The 12066-nt window shown below is 49.6% G+C and overlaps 2 annotated features.

The window, feature by feature from the left end:
• Nucleotides 1808–2363: an enhancer, noted in NCBI's record as "H3K27ac-H3K4me1 hESC enhancer chr1:210424713-210425268 (GRCh37/hg19 assembly coordinates)". NCBI's record gives its function as "activates a minimal SCP1, AML or CMV promoter by ChIP-STARR-seq in primed H9 embryonic stem cells {active_cell/tissue: H9 hESC(primed)}" and the evidence as "EXISTENCE:reporter gene assay evidence [ECO:0000049][PMID:30033119]".
• Nucleotides 2919–3473: an enhancer, noted in NCBI's record as "H3K27ac-H3K4me1 hESC enhancer chr1:210425824-210426378 (GRCh37/hg19 assembly coordinates)". NCBI's record gives its function as "activates a minimal SCP1, AML or CMV promoter by ChIP-STARR-seq in primed H9 embryonic stem cells {active_cell/tissue: H9 hESC(primed)}" and the evidence as "EXISTENCE:reporter gene assay evidence [ECO:0000049][PMID:30033119]".

The raw sequence follows: 12066 nt of genomic DNA on the forward strand, positions 1-12066 counted from the left end.
ACCTTTGTCCTCTCAGAGTTTGGAAAACCAGCAGCTGGAGTAGATATTTTTATTTCCCAATCAGTAGAATTTTAACCAGTTAAGATGATCAATTAGAATTCTCAACCAGCCCAATCTTGACCTAGCTGGTTTTAGGCAAGATGACTTAATGCACAAGGGACATCTCTATCTAGAGATGGTATTGGTCCCTGCACAGAAAGAACTCTTAAAGAAATTCTGGGGCCATTTATCTGGGTGTTTTAAGTGATGAATAAAGAAATACATACTAGGAAGAATCCTGGGATGGAATTTGTACGAATTAATTGATTTCTAACACTTGTTCTTATTATAGATCCAACAAAGCTTACCTCAATCTTTTAAAAATGTCCTGTTTAGGCCAGGCACGATGGTGCACACCTTAATCCCAGCACTTTGGGAGGCCGAGGCAGGAGGATCGCTTGAAACCGGGAGGTGGGGGTTGCAGTGAGCCTGCAGTCCCCACCACTCTGGAGGCTGAGGCATGAGAATCGCTTGAACCCCAGAAGCAGAGGTTGCAGTGAGCTGAGATTGCGCCACTGCACTATAGCCTGGGTGACAGAGCAAAGAGCAAGAATCTGTCCAAAAAATAAATAAATAAATAAAAGAAGAAGAAAGCAAAAAGAAAGAAAGAAGAAGAAAAAGAACAAATCATAACTCTTCATTTATTTGCTTAGAGTCAATCTATTGTATTGATTTCTGGTCAAATGACTGCTGTTTCTTAACCACAAGATTATAACCAACTTAGTGGTGAGAACTAGATTAGGAGTTAGGAAACAGAGTCTTGCCCAGGTTTGCCACTCACTAGCTGTCTAACCATGAACAAGCTCCTTCACTTCTCTGGATCTTGATTTTCCATCTGTCAAATGATGAGGCTGGATTCAAAGGGCCTCTAAAAGATTGTTCCCTTCTAACCTTCTCTTCTGATTCTAACAATTCCTGATTCTAACAATCAGGGATCTTTCTGAAGATGTTCACTTGAGTTTTCTGCATGTCACCCTTTCCTTTCCTTCCCTTCCCCAGAATGCCTTTTTTCCCTCCCAGTGAAACTGAGAAACTGCTTCTGGATCTTTCTTTAAGAACACATCTCTGAGTTTTCCTGTCCCAAATGATTGTTTTCTGCATATGGCGGCTAATCTATTGTCTTCTGTAATATACATTCCTCCGGATAGGCCATGCTTCCCCATTCTCACTGCAGTTCCTCTGCCCCTCCCCCTGGAGTGCTCCTGCCCCCGCCTCCTTTAGCCGATTAGCTCCACACACCCGGAGCCAGCCAGGCACAACGCGGCTCCCCCTGGCACAAGACTGTCCTCGCCTTCAAGCAACCAGCCTGTCTGCACCATGCAGGCAGGAGATCCGTGAACCCTCTTCTCTCTCATTCTTATGCGTAATAAAATAGCGGACTTTCCCCCTTCTTTTTATGAAGACAGTTCTTGCAGCTGTGACTATAACTGTTTTTTTTTTTTTTTTAAATACCAGCCAAGATTATGGTCCCATAACCCAATTAGTGTCATTTGGTTGTGGTCCAAGGGCTTCCCCTGCACGAGTTTTAATTTGGGGATCCCCGGAGGCTGCACTCCACATCTGTAGCCGGCCTGTTCTTCCTCTCCCCTTATTTGCTCGAGGTTTATGGGAGGATTAGCTGTGTGGTCTGGGAGGCGGCTGCTTCTCTTTCATCCTCACGGCTCTCGAGCCGCGGAGGAGCCTTTTACTTTTCATCATCAAGCCCTGGCACCTGGAGGGCGGGCAGCCCTAGCGACTGGAATGAATCAGAGGATGCCCTGCAGGCCCCGGGGGGCGCGGCCCTGCAAGCATGGGGGAGGGGAGGACGGGGGAAAGGCTGCTTATTGGGCTGCTCAGCACCCGGCCAGACTGCGCTGTGCTGGGACGGCGAGGGGGTGGTGAGGAGGGCAGCCGCAGTGTGAGGTGGCCCCCCCCCGCCCCGCCCCCACTCCCTGGCTGGCGAGGGCTGGCAAGGGCTCCGGGCGCTCATTGTGCAGGCAGCTGGCACCAGCTGGGAAGGGGAATTAGCATAACAAAGAGCCGGAGCGAGCGCGGCGCGGCCCGGCGGGGGCTCTGCCGAGCGCCCCGGGCTCGGAGGAGCCGCGCTGTCAGCGGCTGTGGCGCGCTCGGGCCTCCTGGCCTGAGACCCTCGGAGCAGCGGGGCCCGGCCCCCAGCGGGCGCGCTCTGTCTGGGTTCCGGCCGCAGGACTCGCCCGGAGAATGCAGTGGGTGTGGGTGTGTCCGGGACAGCGTGAATGGGCGTGGGTGTGTGTGTTCGGGTGAGTGTGGGTGCCCGTGTGTCCAAGCGTGCGTGTAACCGTGTCCCTGGGCGTGGGAATGCGGGTGTGAAGGGGTCACCTGCACACGGGTGGGGACCCGCCAGCCCTCTTCCCTTCCGCCCCAGGAAGGCCTCTTTGTTTATTTCTTTCCGGAGACCGCGGTGGTTCTTCAATCACCAGTTCTCAATCCTGATTGCACCTCGGAGCCCCCTTCGGGAGCTTTTACAAAACCCTCAGGCCTGAGCCCTACCCCAGAGGCTCGCGATGAATTGGACTCTGCTGAGGCCCCCAGCGGATGTTTCTTCAGACGTCCGCGTGGATTCCGACATGCGGCGTGGTTGGGAACCGCCGAGTACCCACTCCCACTGTCCCCAGCCCTGCTGCCGACCCTGGACGCCAGCGAGCGCCAAGGAGACCGGGGCCGGCTTGGCCTCGGGTTTAGGGCCTGGAAGCTTATCCTTCGCCTTCACTGGTTGAGGTCAAGTGCACATTCCCCCGACACTAGCGCTGGGTCTTAGGCTACCGACTGGGCAACCTCACCTCCATTATTGCATCTAAGCCTTACAGCAGCCCCATGGGAAAAAAGCTGTCGTGAAACGAAGCTCAGTTGAGTGTCACAAAGGGTCACAAAGCTAGGTATTCGACCCACCGAATTGGAGTCCAGGGCTATGGGACTCCAAAGTCCACGTTCTTTCCACTGTAATATTTAAAAATAAAAATTAAACAACTAAATCAAAAACCACCGCTGCTTTTCAAGTGCTGCCAAGACCTCAAGCTGACCAGGTCCCTGGAAAAACCCTGGGAGGACTCTGGAGGAGGCGGGGTTAGGGTGTAGCAAGACTCCTGACCCCAGAAGGTAGATACGGCCTAGACGACGTCACTAGAAATTGCCCGGGGCGTCTTCTCTCCAGCAACCTTCTGCACCGCCTTCCACCTGGGTAGTCTCCCTCCCCGTCCCGGCCCTTCCAGGCTCCAGCTCCCCACCCCCTCCCTACAGGAAGGAAATGTGACAGCACAAGCCGTTCGCCATCACCCAGGAGCTGTCAGCAGCTGCGCAGCCCGGGGCGGGAGAGAGCACCGCGGTCAGAGACCCGGGGACCGGGGAGCTGCACCACCGCGTTCCGGGCCCCGCGCCTGGGCTTCGCCTCGCTGCACCGCGCCTGCTTGCTCCTAGCGGGAGCCCAGAGTCTCCGAGTCTCCTCAACAGCTTCGCGACAGGAGTCTCTTGCCTCAGCTGCCTGAGCAGTCCTCCTGGAGAGGGAGGAGAGGAGGATGAAATGAGCTCTGGGCTCTGCTAGCCCCAGACTCCCCCATTACCCAGAGGTGTGGGTTTCCACGAGTGCAGGCTCCAACCAGCGCCTTAGCATCACCAAGCTCCAGAGGGCCCTGGGCTTCTGAGGCCACCCAGGCCCACCCACCCTTCTCACAGCAGGGGAGATAAAGGTCCAGGGAGGTGAAGTGACTGGAGGTTTCATGGCCTCCTGACTGCCTGCCCAGCTTTACTCTGGCTGCACCAGACCCTTTAACAGGCAAACCTGTCAGTGCTTACTTACCGGGGACATTTTCTACAGAGAGAACCTCAGTGCTGGGGAAAGGAGTAACTATAGGCTTGCAGGCAGCATCTGCCCACAAGGTGCCCTGGAGAGAGGGAAAAGTTGGAAACCCTGGGCCCCCAGCCTGAGCACTACCCAGTTTGAGTTTCTGGGGCCTGATGGGGCTGGTGGTGGCTGCTGTTGTTATTATTAAGAGTTCAGAATTCTCGTAGGTTCTAACAACTGTGTTCATTCTCAATAAATGGTTTCTTAATAATCGTTTTAATTAGCAAAAAGGCTGTCTTATTAAAGCTAATTAAAGGCAATTTGGGAACCTTATTTTCATACAATCATAAAATTAGAGAAACAAGAGGCAGGAGAAATGGGAAAAGTCTCAGCTTTTCTGCAGAGGGGGCAGGGAGGAGCTGGGGAGACCCTACCTCCAAGCCAGGCATGCAGAATGCCAGTGCCCAAGGGGGTGGACTGGAGCTCCTAGATTTGGGTGTGGCCTCAGGCAGTGCTGGGGACCAACTGCTGAGAGGGATACTCTGTTCACATCCTCCAACTGGAGTCTCAGAGTCACCTGAACTCCTCCCTCTGCTCTCACACAATTAGTCAATTCTCTCCCTCTAGCTATCTTTACATTGAAAAAGAAGGTGCTACTATTGCACCTCTGCCATTGCACCTGGCAGCCATAACCTAGGTGGTTTAGCATCCATCAGGTGCCTTAGCATCACCAAGCTCCACAGGGGCCCAGACTTCTGAGCACCCAGGGTTATCTACCCTTCTCACAGCAGGGGAGATTAAGGTCCACCGAGGTGAAGTCCACAGCCTCAGCCCTGCCCAGGGTGCCCCCTAAGTCCCCAAGCATTTCCACTCCATCCATTCTGTAGCTGATCATCCTAAATCACCAGGCAAACAGGAATACTTTACCTCCCAGGTTTGACTTTCAATGCCCTCCAGACCTCAGCCCAGGCTACATGCCCAGCCCCACCTTCTGCTCCCTGGGGGGAACCTTCTGCTCCAGCCACTTCTGTCCTCTCAATGTCCTCTCTTGCTGACCTGCAACTTTTCACCTCCCAGCCTTCACTCCTGCTTTTCCCTTAGCCTGGGATAACCTCTCCATGCCCCCACTTATACAAAGAGTAACTTGCCCTCAAGGCCACTTCAAGGTCCACATTTTGTGTGAAGCCTTTCCAGGGCTACTATAGGTCTGTTCTGTGATACATAAAATGTAATATCCCCCCTCTCTAGAATTACTTTTCAACTAGAATCATAGTTTTGGGGGAGATTTTTTTTGGAAGGCATTATAAAGTAGAAATTAAACATGGGCTTTGGAATCAGAGAGCTTAGTTACAATCCTGGCTTCCTATAACTTTGTGACCTTGAGTAAATGTCTTGACTTCTGTAAGCGCAGGTTTCTTCATGAGTAAAATGTGGCTAACTATACCCATAACTAAGTTATTGGGATGGTGTATGTAAGTCACTTTACATAATGCCAAGCACACAATATGAATAGCTGTGGGACCCTTGTCCTTGTTGATGTGGGGGAATAGTTTAGAGTGACAATTTGTTGTTTTATGAGCATGTCCTCCAGAAAAAGAGAGCACCCAGTCAAAGGATAGATTCCATGGCTATCTGAACTTCCACTGCACTCATCCCTAGGGGTTCTAGTACCTCAGTACGCACCCCCATTCCTTCTCTCCAGGGTCCCTTCCAAATCCTAGGAAGGGGCTCTACCCTCGGGTCCATGGGATAGTGGTTTATGGGCACATACTTACTGTAAGTGTCTAGTGTCAGAACTCTACACAAGAAAGACACTAAACATGGGGTTAGCTCCTTGCCTTCTTGTTTTAAGTTGCCCAGTCTCCATCCTCAGTAGACCTCCCTGTAAACAACCCATTCTGGCAGGAATCTAACAGTCTAAAGGGCTCTCCAGTAAATTCTACCATAACACCAGGAATTCTTGCCTGTCCTTAAAAATGCAGCTTTGTGCATACATAGATTTTTTTGTACAGCAGGCTTTGTCCCTCTCCTTATCTGAAGGCCATGGGACAGTGGGTGGCCACGAATCTGCAGGGGGCTCCCCTTCTGTCCTTCCCTGAACATCCTCTGGATGAAACAACCATAGCAAAACTGACCTGGGAGGAAGAGCAATGAGCCCATGCATGAAATACTAGTGTTTAGCTGCCTAGTCTCAAAGCAATTGTTTAAGTAGGGGCCTCAGCCATGCTAATAGCTATTATCATAGGACCTTATGTCTATTAATGTCTCCTCAGCAGAAGGAAATGCAAACTTATGACATTCTGATTGTGATAAGCAGCACACTTTCACCTACGAGGGGCTGTAATCGAAGCAGAAGTGCCTCACAAATTAACTAGCAGTCGCCCACACATCAAGCACAGAAGATACTTTCTCTATCATAGGTAAGAAAGGGACTTATTTCTCATCCTGGAGCATCAGTGGCTGTGTCAGCCCCACCACAGCTTCTGATGGGACTGGAGCTACACTGACATGTATGATTAAAGCTCCATGTTATACCGCAGTGGCTGAGTTTTCAAGGAGATGGAGGAAACCTCACAGGACCCCTGGGGCAGGACACAACACTGCTCCTCAGAACATTCCTTTTAAAAAAGTTGTCATGAAATCCAATTAACCAGCTGGAAGGCCATCGTGGGCAGGCCTCCTCGGGGTTAATAAATAATAGAATATGCCCTACATTGGAAGGGGCATCTCTCTTTTCTAAGCTTGCAGGCTGTGACAAGGGCTCCTGGCAGGAAGAGACATGTACTACCACCACGTCCTGGTCCCTAAAACTTTGGTGAGTCCAGCAGTGAAGGTCCCCTAGACAGATGCCCAGAGTCCTGGGGGTACCTTCCCCCTCCCCTACACCGTAAGCCACAAATTCATCAACCCAGCCCCAGGTATGAGGGAATGAGGGGTCCTGTCTTGAGAGAACAGAGCATTAGAATGGGGTCAGGAGCTTTAGTTCTAGCTCCCGGTCAGTCTCATTGTCAGGCAAGCTGTTCACAGGCTCCTGTTCCCAGCTGAACAAGACTGATGGTAGAGAAGACTTCAAAGTGGGCACAGCAGGCTCTCTCTCACTGGTCCCCTCTCCGTGGCTGATCCCCCCGTGGGGAACACTTTACTTCTGTTAGACCAGCACTGCTCAATAAAAATACGATGCGAATCATGAATGTCATTTTCAATTTTCTAGTAGTCACATTAAAAAAAAAAGTTCATTAAAAAAAGTGACATTAATTTTAATAATAAAGGCTGGGCGTGGTGGCTCACACCTGTAATCGCGGCACTTTGGGAGGCTGAGGCTGGAGAATCACTTGAGCCCAGGAGTTCGAGACCAAACTGGGCAACACAGGGAGACCTTGTCTCTACTAAAAATTAAAAATTAGCCAGGTGTGGCGTTGCACATCTGTAGTTCCAGCTACTCAAGGAGGCTAAGCAGGGAGGATCTTTTGAGCCCAGGAGGTCGAGGCTACAGTGAGTTATGATTATACCACTGCACTTTTTTTTTAAATTTTTTTTTAATAGAGACAAGGTCTCACTATGTTGCCCAGGCTGGTCTTGAACTCCTGGACTCAAGCAATCCTCTCGCCTCAGCCTCCCAAAGTGCTGGAATTATAGGCATGAGCCACCACACCCAGTCCCTTAATTTTTAAAAAATAAAAAAAAGTTTTAAATTATAAAACATTTAAATAATATATTTTATTTAACCCAAATATACACAAATTATTGTCATTTTAACATGTAATCAATATAAACATTTTGACTGAGATATTTTATATTCTTTTTTGTCTTGTACTAAGTCTGAAATCTGGTGTCTAGTTTACAATGACAACACATATCAATTAGGACAAGACACATTTCAATTTCAATGCTCAATAGCCACATACTGCTAGTGGCTACCATATCGGACAAGTCAAGGCCTGGATCTCCGTGATCCCTTGTACAGGGAATCATGCAGCTCCCATCTGGCTCACAACCACATCCCCTCTCCTCTGGGCCCTCTGGGCACCATGTTCTTGCTTCTTGGGGACCCTTAGCCCATCCCCCTAGTTCACTCCCAGGGACTGCCCAGTGAAAACTACCCGGCACCAGAGGGTCAACGTTTTGGGGCTGGCCGGCTCTGATCTACACCCTCCAGCATCATCCCCACGGCCCAGAGAGGGTTGTGTGGGACTATCCTAGAGTGGCAGAGTCAAGGACAGGGGAGGCAGGTTGGGGGAGAGGAGGAGTTGCAGACAGTAGCTCCAGTAGTTTCTGGAGTGGTGAGGGCTTTAGTTAGAAGCAGACTGAGGAGCCTTTAATCCTCTCTGTTACCAGAGAGGAAAATGTGGGTGGCAAGTAAAGTCTTGTCAGGGAAAATACTGGCAGGAAGGTGAGCCACATGCCCGAGTAATCGCCGACTCCACCGCTCTCCTTTGATGTAGCACCTCGGTGCCATGCAGGCCAGGCCAGGCCTGTGACAGACAGGCCCTTCCTGGGCGATTGCAACTGTGTGTGTATGTGTGTGAGTGTGTATCCTGGCTCCTTCTCAAGCTGCAGATGCCCGTCTCTGCATGCCCTCAATCTGACAGCATCCCAAGGGGAGTGAGTCCTAGGTTCATGCTTTCTGAACCTCACATTTAGACATGTGGCCTAAGAAATTAGGAGTGTCACGGAGTGGACCACAGGCTGGGACAGATGATACTGTACTCACCATGCCCGTCCTACTTCCTTGACTGCTGTCTGCTACCTAGTGGAATAGCAGTGGATGAATGAGCACGTGACTGTTCCAGACAGTGGGCAGGCTCGGTCAGCAAAGTAGAAGAGGGCGCTGCAGACAGCAAAGAGCTCCAGTGGAAGTGCTGTTTATGGGCCTGGAACAGTGGAACAGGATGAAGCCTCAATAAGGTCCCATGGGAGGGTGAGAGTCACCCATTTGTAAGAGACAACATTACTGGGGTCCAGTTCTCAGGCCCTTGTGTGGTACCAGGAACTCTGCCAGCTCTAGCCTGATGTTGCCACAATCCCTCAGGCTTTAGAAAAAGGAAGGGAGCTGGCTGATTGATCACTCTTATACAACACTTTACAGTTTACAAAAAACTTTCACCTCTATTACGGTGTAATTCTCCCAACAATTCTATAGTGTTGGCAGGACAGGTATTGTTATCCTTATTTTATAGGTGAGAAAACTGTGGCTCAATGAAGGGAAACACTCTTTCCAGGGGCAGAGCCAAGATCAGCAGGCAGGCTTTTTCACAGAGCTCTCCAGAATCATTGCTCAAGCTGACCTTAGAGCAGGGCTCTTATAATTCGGGGGTCATAAATCCCTTTGGGAGTCTGATTAAAAAAAAAAAAAGCTTTGAATCCTCTTACTGAATAATGGACTTCAAACAGTCCATGACCCCCTTGAAATTTTATAGAAAATATTGTCTGTACAGTTTTTAGAGGGAGGGACTGGGGATGAAGGAAAAAGATCAGATTTTTTTTTTTTTCAAGAGTCTTGCTCTGTTGCCCAGGCTGGAGTGCAGTGGCATGATCTCAGCTCACCACAGCCTCTGCTTCCTGGATTCAAGTGATTCTTCTGCCACGGCCTCCCGAGTAGCTGGGATCACAGGCTGCGCCGTCATGCCCAGCTAATTTTTATATTCTTAGTAGAGACGGGGTTTTGCCATGTTGGCCAGGCTCGTCTCAAACTCCTGACCTCAAGCAGTCCACCTGCCTCGGCCTTCCAAAGTGCTGGGATTACAGATGTGTGCCACTGCACCTGGCCAAAGATCAGATTTTTTTTTTCTAGTCAGAGTCTCACTTTGTCACCTGGACTGGAGTACAGTGGAGTGATCTCAGCTCACTGCAACCTCTGCCTCCTGGGTTCCAGCAATTCTCTTGCTTCAGCCTCCCAAGCAGCTGGGACTACAGGCACACACTGCCAGTCCCGGCTAATTTTATTTATTTAGTTATTTGTATTTTAGTAGAGACGGGGTTTCACCATGTTGCCCAGTCTGGTCTCGAACTCCTGAGCTCAGGCAATCTGCCTGCCTCCGCCTCCCAAAGTGCTAGGATTACAGGCGTGAGCCCCCCAACGTGGCCCAAAGATCAGATTTTTAAGGAAGTCTACGACACCCAAAAGGTTAAGAATTTGTGATCTAGACCAACCTCTTCATTTGACAGATGAGGTAAATGAAGCCGAAAGATGGCCGGTGATTTGCCCAGGACTAGCATCAGAGCAGAAGTGGGACTTGAAATCTGAGTCAGTCTGCCCTTTCACTATACACCAATTATAATGAGGTTTACAGATGCCTGAGCTGCTCCTGGCTCCAGGGAGCCCTAGCTTGGGAAACACCAAGCCCCTACACAATGAGATCCAGATTAAGAATGGATGTGTCATCCCAGCTCCACCGCTAGCCAGCTGCACAACTATCCCGCACTCTCTGCACATCATTTTACCTTCCAGAGTAGCATTTTACCTTCCAGAGAGAAGCATTCCCTGACCTCCCTACTTCTGAGGAACAGTATGAGGAAGCAAGGACATGAAATGTGATGGAGCTCCAGAGATGGGGCAGGGGAGGGGAGGAAGAGGGAAGAACAGAAGACAGCAAGTGGTTGTTCAAAGAGGCTGGGGCTGGGCACTGGATAGATGGGATGGTTTTGTTTTATGCAGCCGTTTCATCTTCTGGGGCTAAATTTCCCCATCCCTCACACTGTAGGTAACGAGTCTCCTCAAACTCTGCCCTTGCATCCTCTGAATTGATCAGGGTCCTTCTTTGTAAAACAAAGCAAATATAAAAACCTGGAATCCTCCCCATCTGGTTTAAGCATGAGAGGATTCAGTAAGGGTATTAAGAGGGCTGAAAAACAGACTAGAGTCTGAGCTTCCAGGATGACTCCCAGAGCCACACTGCAGATCTGGCTGCCAGGGGAGCAGCTGCCTCCGTCAGGAGCAGGAAGTTGCCAGTTCTAACCCATTCTGTGCCTGCTGTGATCTGGTGCCAGCAAAAAGGGAGGACCCCTTCCTGCCATGTCCCTGTCCCTAGGTAACTCTGTTCAGAGACAAAGATTAGCTCAGATTGGTGCGACTAGCACCCCTAGCAGCAACGGAAATGAAAAAATAAGGGCAGTTTTCTTTTGTTTTAGTTTTCATTGGAAAGGTAGGATGCATCCTTGAAAGACTATCAAAATATCAAGAGGGTGTTGAAAACATTTGGGCAGCCATGAATACGTCTATGATAGTGCCCCTTGAGATGCTGGGGACATAGTCCCAGGAGACTTGCTATAACAACTGTATTTTGAGGTCTCTCATTTTAACTTAATTTTTTTTTGAGACAGTGTCTCACTCTGTCACCCAGGCTGGAGTGCAGTGGTGTGATCATGGCTCACTGCAGCCTGGACCTTCTAGGCTCAAGCAATCCTCCCACCTCAGCCTCCCAAGTAGCTGGGACTGCAGGCATATGCCACGACACCCGGCTAATTTTAAAAATTTTTCTGTAGAGATGGGGTTTCACCATGTTACCCAGGCTGGTTTCAAACTCCCAGTCTTAAGGGATCCTCCTGCCTCAGCCCCCTAAAGTGCTGGGATTACAGGCCCCACACCTGGCCTAATTTCAACACATTTTTTAAAAATTCATTGACTTCTGTATTATATGTGTATATATCTCTTATCATCTATCTAGAAATATATATATACATACACACATATACTATTTATAAGCACACATTGTATACATACATGTTTTATTTACCATAATAATCACATTTCTCTAAAAATCAAGTAGAATTGGGGTGTTGAGGAGAATATTTGAAGCTAATCCTTCAGTTTCTCATAACCCTCAGCTACACACACACACACACACACAGGCCCTTAAAGATCTTAGAAGGAAGGGAGGCTAAATGTCCTGGTTTATCTGGAACAGGCCTGGTTTATGCCTATGGGCCCAGCATAATGATTAATAACACACCTACTGTCTCCAAAGTCCTCATTTAAATGATAAATTATATAGTCGTCTTAATCTTGGGGGACACCTGACAGTCCCTGGCTTCTGGGATGTGTTGACAGAAACGAAATTGCAACCTGACCCAGCCAGCCCTTGGGGAAAACTAGGTGGTCAGCTGATTTGTCTTTATTCTCCTATTTTGAGAGGTCGGACCTCCAGGCCCTACCTCACCACCCCCAGCCAGTTGAACTAAGACCTCTGGGGACATGGGCTCCTAAGTCCTGTCCCCTAAGAATCAAGAATGCA

This window comes from Homo sapiens, chromosome 1 (genome assembly GCF_000001405.40).
Source record: "Homo sapiens chromosome 1, GRCh38.p14 Primary Assembly".
NCBI lineage: Eukaryota > Metazoa > Chordata > Mammalia > Primates > Hominidae > Homo > Homo sapiens.